Below are 13226 nucleotides of genomic sequence, written 5' to 3' on the forward strand. Positions count from 1 at the left end.
TCTGTTTATTCCCATTTTATAGACAAGAGGACTGAGGTACAGAGAGGCTAAGCCCTTGTTCAAGCTCACATAGTAAGTGGCAGAGCTGGAATTCGAACCTAGGCCATCTTGCTTCAAAGACAGCTCAGCCACCTCTCAAGCCTACAGATTTGCTATCGTAAATATATTGTCTGTCAGTTTTCTTTCCTGTAAAATGAGACATGGGACCAGGTGACCACTAGGGTCCTGGTCAGTCCCAAAATGGAGAGGCAGAAAAGTACAGCAGTTAAGAAGCTGTACTTATGTATAAAATGGGTCTGCCAGCCCCTCCCAGCAGGATCGTGGTGAGGAGTCATGAATGAGGCACTTAGAAAAGTGGGTGGCACACAGTGAGTGTCCCACAAGCAGGAGCTCTTATCATCCTCCAGGGCTGACCATGGGCACAGCCAGGGCAGACTCTAAAGGCTCCTGAATTCCAGCTCTCAAGGCTCCCGAGGGCTCTGGAAATGTGAGAATGCCCTTGATCCCCAGCAAAAGACAATCTCTGGGACACCCACTCTGACAGCTCCTGCAATTAGAAGGTGGTCATGGAGCCTGGGAGAGGAAGGACCACTGGCTGCTGGCTACTCCACAGAGACCACGAGAACTGGCCCTGCCCACCAGTCCAAGGCAAACTTCTCATCATTTTTCCAGCCGAGACAGTGACAACTGGGAAAAGGTACATTTCCCGCAGCAAGGATTTCAGGTTCACTGGGAACCTGGCTGCACTCATAGCTGGGGGACAGTAGATGGATTTCTTCCCACTGTTATCCAAGTGCCTCCTCCTCAGACTGGGATCTATGGATTAATGCTGGCTCAAATGCCAGCTCTACACTTGGTAGCCAGATCACTCTTGGAAAATGACTTCTGAGCATCAGTTTCCTAATTTTCAAAACAATGGCAACACAGTTTAGTGGTTATTGACAGAGCCCAGAGCCAGGCTAACTGGGTTCAAATCCCAGCTCCACCACTTACAAGCCTACTGAATTAAGGCAAGTCCGTTCATGGGCCTGAGCCTCAGTTTCCTCATCTATAAAATAGGGATAATAATAGCACCTCCTTCAGAGGTTATTGGTGAGATTAACCAAGTTCATGTTTTTTTTTTTTAATACTTGGATATATAAACGTGTTGTAGTCATTATTACTTGGAAGTGTTGTAATTAAATGAGATAGGCCCAGATAGGCACCCAGGGAAAGTGACCATCGATACCTGTATTATTACTATTATTCCAGCCAGTACGGCCCCTGCTGCCCTGAGGCAGCCAGACAGAGTTCTGGGGAATAAAGAGGGAAAATTCTTAAGACACTTACAAGTGGGAGCAGTAAAACCCGAATGAAAGCCATTAGTGTGGACCAAGAAGTTGTCCTCAAAGCAGGGTGCTGGTGGAGAGGCGTCGCTGCATCCAGCCGTGGATGCCCCTCTCACCAGGCCTGGTCACCTCAAAAGGCCCACGATCAAGTCCCCGTTCCCCACCTCCTGGCCAAGGCAGATCCAGCCGCTCCTGACTTGTCTTCGGAGTAACTCTCCGAAGAGAGTGAAAGGGAAGTTGCTGCTCCGAGGAATCTGCCAAGAGCTGTGTGTCCTGACTGCCGTGGAAAAAAGGAAAGCGAACCACCAACTTGGGCTGCGCTCCTGCTGCATCTCCCCTCGGGGCCTGCCGCTGGGAAGATCTCGGCTGCTGCGAGAGTACCCAGCCCCAGGCGAGGTCGGGACGGGGACCGCGCTCACGGGAGGCGTCCTCTGAACCTTGGGGAGGCGCCGCTGCGCCCGCCAGACCCTCGGCGAGCCCACCGGAGCGCGCTGGCGACAGTGACAGCGCCGCCCCCCGCCCGCGCCCGGAGGTGGCAGGGCCTCCCCACCAGGCCCGGAGCCCCGGCCTCCCCGGCGCGGCCGCCCGGCCCCCACCCTTCCCGCTCCCGCCTGGCCCCGCCGCGCTTACCCGGAGCCGGAGCCCGCGCCAGCAGCGCGGCCGCCGCCAGTGCCAGCAGCCGCATCTCCCCGCCGCCGCCCGGCGCTGTGACGCGGGAGAGCGCCGCCGCCTGGCCCGGCCGCCGCCAGCCCGCCCCGGGCCCGCGCTCGCGCCCGCCCCCGGCCCGCCCCTTGGGCCGCCTGCCACGCGGGGCCGGGGCTGCTGGGTCCCGAGGCCCGCACCGGGCGCGGGAGCCGCCGCGCGATCGGTTCGCTCCAGGATCTGTGGCGTCTCCTTTCAACAGCCCCATTTCCCAGATGAGAAAACTGAGTTTCTGCAAGGTGATCGCTGGTGACTCACAGAACACACAGCTGCAGTGCGACCGGCGGTCCTCTGCCCACAGATGCACTTATTCCTAAGGGAAGGCGGGATCTGGGAGCCAGGGGGTGGGGGCGCGTCCAGGGAACCTCTGGCCTGAGACTCACCTGCTGGTCGTGGGCCTCCTGCGCTCACTCCACAGGACCCTCGGGAGCCAACAAGCAGCTGAGGGGGGAGAAGCCCCTTCTGCTGCCCTGAAATGGAGGGCGGGGTCCGAGGTGCTAACCCTTGGAAAACTGAGAGGGTCCACACAGACCAGCCCAGAATATGTGGAAACTATTAACAAAAGTGCCCATTTACAGTGCCTCAGCCAGGCCTGGGCTAAAGTGATTTTCCAGATGCTACTGAACCCCGCCGCGGTCAGGCCTGGGACAGTTCTGTAATCTCCATGTGCCTCAGTTTCCTGCACCTGTAAAATGGGGAAATGGGCCCACCCCTTCTGGGGTGTTTAGGAAGACCAAGTTACACCATTCCCATTAACGCATTGCCCCAGCACCCGATTCACGGGTGTCAGTGAACACTACTATTATTACTATACATAAGGAAGCAGAAGCAGCCACATGAAAGAGACCCATGTCACACAACCACAGAGCCCTGTCACTCTGAGCCAATGCCTGGTCTCTTTGCCACTGTTCTAAACTTAGGGTCTGAGCCTAACCCATCTCCAAGCAAGAAAAGCACATGTTAGGTCTATTCTGTGTGTGTCTATCAGGAGAGGTCTTTGTGGAGTTCCAGTGAGGGGTAGCAGCAGCTAGCAGGTGGGCCCTGGTTGGGAGTGGGTCCCTGTAGGAGGAGGAGGAGACAGGGCCCTCATCTCCTTCCCTCTAAGGGAGTGAGGAGGTGTGGGTGGCATGGAAAGAGGGTGCAGCCCACTAGTGTGAGCCCCAGGGCATTCCCCAGAGGGACCATCCTCTTCAGGCACCCCAGGCCAGTGGGTGCAAAGGCTCTGTGACATCTCTGAACCCCAGGCACTTCCAGAGGTCTCTGGACCCCATGGGATCCTCCAGCTAGGAGACTCATCTGTGGACCAGGGCCCTGCAGGGACTGGACTGACCATCAAGGCAGCCAGGCTGGAGAAAGCAGCCCCATCTATAATTTGGGTTGGTGGAAGGGCCTGAGGACCCGATAGTGAGTTGGCAACAAAGGTACTTGGCTATGATGCCAAGGACAAGAAGTGAGGACTAGAACTGGGGTCAGATGGACTCCTGCAGCCCAGGAATGCAAACTAGAACCAAGTGAGGCTTCCAGACCAGAGTTTGGAAACCAATTTTATACATGAGCAAACGAGCCTCACGTCCCATCCACATAATGTCCTAGGCCTCATTTTACAAATTAGTAAATTCAGGCTCAAAGAAGACCAGGGACCCGTACAAGGTTCTGTGGGGCACCAAATGTCTGAACTGGGAACTTGGACTCTGACTGCAGACTGTTGACTCAGCCCTGGAGCCTGGGGCAGTGTTTGGCAGACTGAGGGAGGATGTCTGAAGAGGAGCACTGGTTCTGAAAGTGGATCTGTGACCCGCTCTGGCTGGGCAACAACCTTGGGTCCTGGAGCAGCACAACCTCTCTGAATTTCATTTGTCAAGTGAAGGTGACACATGTAAAATGGCGTCTTGACATGGCTGTACTAAGAGCAGCTAGAGATGTGGCAGGGCCATTTGGTATCCTTGGTAACCTCCCACCTCAACCTGCTGGTCTCAATTTACTCTCCCAGTTGGTGAAAAGCAGAAGGGACCCCTTAGATGTGTCAGCCACCCTTGGAGGAGGCAACTCCTGCTTTGGTCGTTGTATATTGCTAAATATCCAACTCTCATTGCAAAACAGAGCAGAAATTCAGCCTGCCACCCTTGACTTGCTTCGTCTTTACCAAACTGGGGTTGTGCCAAAGATTTGAGGCTAGAAAGTGCTTTTCTTGTACTTTTCTGCTACAGGTAACATTGTGCTGATTTTACAGCTGTGTGCACTGCTGGTACTTTTCAGCTTCCCATATAATCTAACTGATCATCCTGGTAAAACCTTTGCTGCATGAACACAGGAACAAGGGAATATACTCAGCCCTCATGGGAGACAGAGCCAGTGACCCGGATAAGACTTGGCCTTTCAGCTCTTCTGGACTACATTGGCAAAGGCCTTCCAAATGGTTTTCTTAGCTCTGCTGCCTGCTCACTCATTCACAAGCTTAGGACCATTTGAAAATCCTTCACAGGCTTCTTTGTCCATACCTTGGCTCTATCAGGTCTTACTTTGTACTGAATTGGAAGAATAATACAATCCAATTCTATTTTTTGTTTACCTCATAAGAAGAGGGTGTTCAAACCATTCTAAAGTTGATCCAGATTCCTGTGGACACTAAGCTATATGGAGAGCCTACTCAACTAATCCTGTATTCTACCAGTTGCCACTGAAAGAATCTTAGAAATCCAGATTTTCTCCAACAAGTGCATTCTGCTATCACCTGGCAGGCCGGGGCTTTTCCTCTTTCATTATCCAATTGTTTGTTAGAACCTGGGTCAGAGATGGAAGAGTACAGCATGGTTTTGTAATGGACCTTGCACACAGCAAATATATCCCTAAACTAAGACCATCAAGCAAAACGAAACACCCCTCTTCTAAGGTGTTTAGCAGATTTCCAAGTGTTACTTTTTCAGTCTAGGTTTCTAAAAGTAATTTTGAATATTTGCTCCTCCCTATTGTTCACAGGCATTTTACAGCTAAAAGCAGTCAGCTACATGCTTGAATTGCCACTAAAAGAGAGTTCACTCTAGAGAAAAGCAGTTATCAGCTGTGACTGAGAGAGCAGGGAAAGGATAAGAAAGAGGAGAGATCGTGGTTACAGACAATGCAGCCATCCAATCAGAAAGATATGCCTAAGGCCCCTGGGGCAGAGTTTACATGAAACCTTCAGCACCGTCTTCTCCCTGCACAACTGGGGAAGGAGTATGGACTACACTGTTTTTCCCGAAATGTACAGAAATGTGAAGCTATAGGCCTGACAGGATGTCTAGATAGAAATAGCTTCTAACCAACCTCATTGGTGACCCCAATAGAGGGACGTGATTGTGAGCTGATGCCAAGGGCTCTGCAGGCCGGCTGGATGCAGCAACCTGGACCAGCTCCCAGGAAACGGAAAGACATGGCCCCAGATTCCTAGAAGGCTCCAGATGGAGGTGATTGAAATGAGGGAGGGACTAGGAACCAAACAGATGTCTATAAAACTGACCACAAAGAAAACATCTTAGAACTGACCACTGATGTATAAGACTAAAAATCTCAGTCTATGCCTTCTACTTTTATTGAACATTCAGTGAGCAAAAGACAGACTGAAGAACTGTTCAGAGTAAAAGAGGTTAAAAAGACTTATCAACTAAGTGAAACGTATGATCCTAGATCCTTGATGTGGGATCAGGAAAAAAATGCTAAAAAGGACATTATTGGTATGACTGGCAAATGGACTATATTGTATACTACATACATTTCCTGAGCATGATTATGAAAGAGAATGCCTTTACACTTGTTCTTAGGCGATCCACACTGAAGTATCTGGTGTTAATAGAATGACTGTAAATTACTCTTAAATGGTTCAGCAAAAATAACAAGTTTATCTATAATATGTATTGTATAATATATATATGGAAAGAGAGAGAGACACAGGGAGAGAGAGGCAAATGGGAAAGTCAGTAGATCTAGATAAAGAGCATATGGAATTCATTGTACTATTCTTGCAACTTCTGTAAGTTTTCATTTTTTTCGAAGTAAAACTTAAAACTAAAACTTGTTTATTACTTTTATGATATCTCAGTGTTTTTATATATATGCTGCTCATAGGCATCATGTAATTATTGATCAGTATCATACATATTACATTATTTCATCTATTGTAAGGTACTATTAATTATAAATTGCTTCCTCCCCATGTCAAAGATGTTACAGTAAATGCAGTTCTGATGTTTTGTGAATCCAAGCAGAAGACTTAGGCTTCAGGAAAATTCCCATTCTGCATTCTTAATAACTTAGAAATAAGGGAATAAGACCTCTGTAAGTCCTCTACAGAGACACAAAGACTCCCAGCTTGGAGCAAGTCTAGACTAAAAGTGTTAGAGAAGCAATGGATTGTAACCAAAGTCTAGTATGAGCTGGTCTGACACACGTGGCAGTTTGACTCCTGTGGAGGTAAAGGCATCAAGCTCTATCAGCATGCGACTCCTGTAAGGCTCTGACTCACTTCCCAGCCCTTGGCATGAGAGCCCATCACCCATCAGGAGAATCTGAATGGCATTCAGTTCCATATTCACAGAAGAGGCAAATCGGTTTCACAAACACCCATAGTCACATTAAACTAATGTTGTTAGTTTGAGTTTTATTGCTGTTTGCAATTGTGTTTAATTTACACATTTGGTTTTTGTTTTGCACTTGTAAAGCAACTATAAGCTTAGCTGTTTGTGTTTGTGCTGCTTTATTTCCACAGCAATAACTGAAGTCAAGGCAGGGTCCATAGGAATGTTTCTTGGCCTTTGAAAAGAATAGTAGTCAAGTTTGCCAAACATTGCTTTAGGGAATTCTCACTCTCTTTTCCCAAGACTGATGGCACCCCAGCTCAGTAGTCCTTGAGGGTGTGCTTGGAGGGACTGCAGTAAGTCCAGCAGCAGATGGTACATAAATCCTCAGGAGTCAGGAGTCATTTGTGAGCCTCTTCACAGGGTCCTTGTGCTTGGCCCGAGCTAGGTGTTAGCATGGCCCAGTGCAGAGCAGCAGGTAACACACACACACACACACACACACACACACACACACACACAAATGTATGCACACACATGCACACATGAGCTCTGGCTTCTGGTACCCAGGCTGTGGGCTGTAGACCTGACATTTTCATGAATCTCTTTACTCTGTCTTTTCTAAAGCTCAGCACATCCTCTTTGTCCCTGTGCCCAGCTCATTTTTCTGTGGGACCTTCTGGTCACAGGGAGGGAAGCATTTGAGGCTGAAAGTAGCACCACATCCCCACACGCCTGACTCTTTCTGCAAAACCTTCTGACATGTGCCCACATCACCCTCTGTGCTCAGGCCAGAGACCACCCTGTGTTCACCAAAAGTGAGTTGCTTGCTCCCAAATGTATTTATGCTATTACCAGCATTTACATCAACAAATGTGGACAGAGTGCTCACCACGTGCTTGTGCCCCTAAGGACCCCACCTGGGAAGCCTCCCTACCTGAAATGTGGACCTCCCTGAGCCTTTGTGGCTGCTGTCTTCCTGTCTCTGTCTCCTGCTCTTCAGAATCTATATTCATTTTTTCAGGTTGCCGTAATCCACAGGCCAGGTGGCTTAAACTATAAAAAACGTATTGTCTCACAGTTCTGTGACACAGTTGGAGATCAAGGTGTCACTGGGTTGGTTTCTTCTGAGCTTCTTTTTTCCACTCACAGATGCCATCTTCTCCTTGTGTCTTCATGCAGTCTTCTCTCTGTGTGTGCCTGGGTCCTAATCTCCTCTTCTTATAAAGACTCTGGTCATATTGGATTAGGCACTCCCATATGAATTTACCTCTTTAAAAGCCTTAACTCCAAATACAGTCACATTTTGAGGTGCTAGGGATTAGGATTCAACATATGATTTTTTGAGACAGAGTTTCGCTCTGTCACCCAGGCAGGAGTGCAGTGGCATGATCTCAGCTCACTGCAACCTCCGCCTCCCAGGTTCAAGTGATTCTCCCACCTCAGCCTCCCAAGTAGCTGGGACTACAGGCACCCACCACCATGCCCAGCTAATTTTTGTATTTTTAGTAGAGATGGGGTTTCGCCATGTTGGCCAGGCTAGTCTCAAACTCCTGACCTCAAGTGATCCGCCCACCTCGGCCTCCCAGAGTGCTGGGATTACAGGCGTGAGCCACCATGCCCAGCCCTCAACATACGAATTTTGAGAGGACACAATTTAACCCATTACTGAGCACCACAGAAATTCTCATGAAAGGTCTGTCAGGACTCCACCATTTTGACATGACCCTCGTTTTCCCCCACAATCCCCCTTCCAGGACCCCATTGTGATGTCACATTTCAGGTCAAAGCATTACATGTTATTCTTAACACCTGCCACTTCTCTCTTCCCACCTCTATCTGCCTTATTGAACTTCATCTTTCCTTCATTCTCTTCAACTTCCACTTCTTCTTGTATGGTCCTGTTGATGCCATCTTGTTTCCGTCCCCAGACTCATCATCTTTACCCTCTGTCAACTGAGTTCCCACCCTGGTTCTCTCTCAAGATCTTCCTCTCATAGCTTTCACCCTTGGTAAACAATGAGGACACATCTCAAAAAGAATGATGTAATTTAATTGCCTTGAGTTGGCTGGGCCATCATCTATTATAAAGTGCTCTTAAAATTAAAGCTAATTTAATTCTGAAGAACTAAGGATTAAGAAGTTAAGAGCTGGGGTTCTTACAATATGGCTTGCAGACTACAAGTGTGAACTGAGGAGGTCCCCAAAGTCACTTCTTACTAAGGTAATATTTTGTTTGTTTTTTTTAGAGAGAGGGTCTTGCTCTGTCACCCAGGCTGGAGTGCAGTGTTGCAATCATAGCTCACTGCAGCCTCTACCTCTTTGGTACTAGCCATCCTCCCACCTCAGCCTCCCCAGTAGCTAAGAGTATAGGTGCACACAAAGTAATGCTTGATTAAATGTTTTATTGCCTTTTTATTCTAAAAGCTATACTTGATCAATATAGAAAATATAAAATAATAAAAACTACAGAAGAAATAAAATTTATCAACAATTACTAACTAAAAATAATCACTTAGACATTTCATCACTCTTGCAATATTTCTGTTAATAGCTACTTATCTAGTGGATGGAATATTTTCCATGTTATTTCCTAATTAGTCATGTCTAATATAAAAGGAAGTTCTTGAAATCCATCTTATATATTGATCCTTTGATTATTTTTTCCATAATTTTAATTAATTCATTTGCACTTTCAAAGTATATTATCTTTTTCTGAAAATTATTTTCTGTCTATTGTATACAACATTTCTGTTTCACATCTTATGCATTGGTTGTAACTTCTAGAACAATGTCAAATAAAAATTGTAATAAATGACATTTTTTATCTGATTTTAATGGAAGTACATGTAGATATTTTGCTATTTTGTTTGAGATATTCTATGTTATCTGAAAAAAATCTTATTCTTAGTTTCTAAGGAACTTATTACAGGAATGGTTGTTGTACTTATTATAAGTCTTTTAAATTGAGATACAATTCACATACTACAATTCAGTGGTTTATGGCATATTCACAAAGTTGTGTAACCATTGCCACTAATTCCAGAACGTTTTCATCACCCTAAGAAGAAATCCCATACCTGTTAGCAGTCTGTCCCATTCCTCCCATTCCCCTGAATCCCTGGCAACCACTAATCTGCTTTCTGTCTCTATAAATTTGCCTATTTGAATATTTCATTGACATGAAATTATACGTTATGTTGCCTTTTGTGTCTGGCTTCTTTCGCTTCACAGGTTTTCAAGGTTCATCCGTATATAACATGGGATCAGTTCTTCATTTTATGGCTGAACTATATTCCATTGTATGGATATGCTATATTTTGTTTATTCTTTCATCATCTGATAAACATGTAGGTTGTTTTTACTTTCTGTATTAGGTGAATTATGTGTATTATGAATAATGTTGCTGTGAATATTCATGTACAAGTTTTTATGTGGACATATGTTTTCAATTCTCAGAATTTACATCTATGTTTTCTCTAAGAGTTTTATAGTTTTGACTACTACAGTTAAGTCTTTGATTTTTAGGGTTTTTTTTTTTTTATATGTTGTGAGGTAGGGATCCAATGTCACCTTTTTGCATACAGATATCCAGTTGTCCCAGCACAATTTGCTGAAAAGATTATTCTTTCCCCCATTAAATTATCTTGGCACTCTTGAAAAATCAACTGACCATAAGTGCATTGGTTTATTTCTGATTGTTTTTAATATCTACTGAGAAAATCATAAGAATTTTCTTTCAATACAAAGCACTGTTAGAATTAATAATTTTTAACTATCTTTAGTCAAGAGATGACCCAAATTGAGTTATGATGAAATACTCTTTATTTTTGAGACAGTCTCACTCTGTTGCCTAGGCTATAGGAGTGCAGTGGCACAATCATGGCTCACTGCAGCCTCAGTCTCCGAGGCTCAAGTCATCTTCCACCTCAGTCTGCTAAGTAGCTGGGACTACAGATGCGCACCACCATGCCTAGCTAATTTTTGTATTTTTTGTTTTTTGTAGAGATGGGGTTTTGCCATTTTGCCCAGGCTTGTCTCAAACTGCTAGGCTCAAGCGATCCACCTGCCCTTGGCCTCCCAAAGTGCTGGGATTACAGGCGTGAGTCCACCATGCCAGGCCAGTCATGGTGAATTATTGTTTTTGTAGTCTGTTAAACTAGATTAGCTATTATTTTGTGTTAATAAGTGAGATCGACATATTGCCTACTTTTTTAGTGCCATCTTTTTCAGGCTTTGTTATGAGGTTTATGTAGGTTTTATAACATAAGCTCCATCTTCTATAGTTTGGGAAAATAAAGGGTTTAAAGTGGTTCACAATTTAAAATGTTTGAGGTCCCCTGACACCTCTGGAAGGATTTCCCTTGCTCCTGTCTGTGAGGTCCCAGGTATCTGCAAAATTATGTCTAAACCACAAATGAATGTTTAACTCAGTTGAGTTTCAGTTATAGTTAAAGAACAAGTCACAACCTTAAGAATAATGTTATTCTCTTCTTCTCCATCCGTGTCAGCTGAAGTTATCCTTTACATTAATAGTTTGCTTACCCGAGGTTGCTGTCATCTTTCATTTTTCCTGAACACTCATCATGTTTCTCTTCATCTGCAGCTGCTGCTACTTAATCTAAAGAAAATGCAGCCTGTGCAGTTGACATATTTGCTTTCCTAAATACCTTGCATCTGTCTTTACACTGAAGTTTGCCTCTCTGTGTGACAATTAGAACATAGGCTTGGAGCCAAGCTGGTGTACACCAGCCATATGACCTTTGTAGGGTCTTTGCTTACTCACCAACAGAACACGGACAATAGTAGGATCCACCTCATTGGACTGTGGAGAGCACTGAATGATTTACTATTCACAAAGTGTTTAAAATGATGCTTTGCCCTTAGAATACAGAATTTAGCACTTAAAAACACTTGTCTCTTACAGGCTGAAATTTCAGAGCTTAGATATTATGCCTCATTTCAATTCTCTCCCATACTGATTTTTTAAAAATAAAACTTTCTGTGTCCGTGTGTTCTCATTGTTCAATTCCCACCTATGAGTGAGAATATACGGTGTTTGGTTTTTTGTTCTTGCGATAGTTTACTGAGAATGATGATTTCCAATTTCATCCATGTCCCCACAAAGGACATGAACTCATCATTTTTTATGGCTGCATAGTATTCCATGGTGTATATGTGCCACATTTTCTTAATCCAGTCTGTCATTGTTGGACATTTGGGTTGGTTCCAAGTCTTTGCTATTGTGAATAGTGCCGCAATAAACATACGTGTGCATGTGTCTTTATAGCAGCATGATTTATAGTCCTTTGGGTATATACCCAGTAATGGGATGGCTGGGTCAAATGGTATTTCTAGTTCTAGATCCCTGAGGAATCGCCACACTGACTTCCACAATGGTTCAACTAGTTTACAGTCCCACCAACAGTGTAAAAGCGTTCCAATTTCTCCACATCCTCTCCAGCACCTGTTGTTTCCTGATTTTTTAATGATTGCCATTCTAACTGGTGTGAAATGGTAACTCATTGTGGTTTTGATTTGCATTTCTCTGATAGCCCGTGATGGTGAGCATTTTTTCATGTGTTTTTTGGCTGCATAAATGTCTTCTTTTGAGAAGTGTCTGTTCATGTCCTTCACCCACTTTTTGATGGGGTTGTTTGTTTTTTTCTTGTAAATTTGTTTGAGTTCATTGTAGATTCTGGATATTAGCCCTTTGTCACATGAGTAGGTTGTGAAAATTTTCTCCCATTTTGTAGGTTGCCTGTTCATTCTGATGGTAGTTGCTTTTGCTGTGCAGAAGCTCTTTAGTTTAATTAGATCCCATTTGTCAATTTTGGCTTTTGTTGCCATTGCTTTGGTGTTTTAGACATGAAGTCCTTGCCCATGCCTATGTCCTGAATGGTAATGCCTAGGTTTTCTTCTAGGGTTTGTATGGTTTTAGGTCTAACACGTAAGTCTTTAATCCATCTTGAATTAATTTTTGCATAAGGTGTAAGGAAGGGATCCAGTTTCAGCTTTCTACATATGGCTAGCCAGTTTTCCCAGCACCATTTATTAAATAGGGAATCCTTTCCCCACTGCTTGTCTTTCTCAGGTTTGTCAAAGATCAGATAGTTGTAGATATGTGGCGTTATTTCTGAGGGCTCTGTTCTGTTCCATTGATCTATATCTCTGTTTTGGTACCAGTACCATGCTGTTTTGGTTACTGTAGCCTTGTAGTATAGTTTGAAGTCAGGTAGTGTGATGCCTCCAGCTTTGTTCTTTTGGCTTAGGATTGACTTGGCAATGCAGGCTCTTTTTTGGTTCCATATGAACTTTAAAGTAGTTTTTTCCAATTCTGTGAAGAAAGTTATTGGTAGCTTGATGGGGATGGCATTGAATCTATAAATTACCTTGGGCAGTATGGCCATTTTCACAATATTGATTCTTCCTACCCATGAGCATGGAATGTTCTTCCATTTGTTTGTATCCTCTTTTATTTCCTTGAGCAGTGGTTTGTAGTTCTCCTTGAAGAGGTCCTTCATGTCCCTTGTAAGTTGGATTCCTAGGTATTTTATTCTCTTTGAAGCAATTGTGAATGGGAGTTCACTCATGATTTGGCTCTCTGTTTGTCTGTTATTGGTGTATAAGAATGCTTGTGATTTTT

General features: G+C 44.7%; 1 protein-coding gene and 2 long non-coding RNA genes across 7 annotated transcripts in view; 1 reads left to right on the forward strand and 2 right to left on the reverse strand.

The window, feature by feature from the left end:
* Positions 1-2050, reverse strand: part of VSTM4 (V-set and transmembrane domain containing 4) — a 101287-nt gene extending 99237 nt beyond the window's left edge. For all 5 annotated transcript variants that reach the window (XR_001747052.3, NM_001031746.5, XM_047424711.1 and 2 more), the window contains exon 1: positions 1959-2050. Coding sequence is in view for 4 of the 5 variants with exons in the window: in NM_001031746.5 (NP_001026916.2) it covers positions 1959-2013 (55 nt within the window). In the remaining variant the exon portion in view is untranslated. The remainder of the gene's footprint in view (positions 1-1958) is intronic.
* Positions 2051-6643: 4593 nt separating this feature from the next.
* LOC124902545 (uncharacterized) lies at positions 6644-7989 on the reverse strand. The gene is made up of 2 exons (XR_007062371.1): positions 7731-7989; positions 6644-7636 (listed from the first exon to the last, which is right to left on the reverse strand). It is a non-coding gene; the product is annotated as an uncharacterized LOC124902545 (long non-coding RNA).
* A 377-nt stretch (positions 7990-8366) lies between these two features.
* FAM170B-AS1 (FAM170B antisense RNA 1) overlaps positions 8367-13226 on the forward strand; it is a 29709-nt gene continuing 24849 nt past the window's right edge. The window contains exon 1 of the long non-coding RNA NR_038973.1: positions 8367-8804. This is a non-coding gene — a long non-coding RNA (FAM170B antisense RNA 1). The remainder of the gene's footprint in view (positions 8805-13226) is intronic.

Source organism: Homo sapiens, chromosome 10 (assembly GCF_000001405.40).
Source record: "Homo sapiens chromosome 10, GRCh38.p14 Primary Assembly".
Classification (NCBI taxonomy): Eukaryota; Metazoa; Chordata; class Mammalia; order Primates; family Hominidae; genus Homo; species Homo sapiens.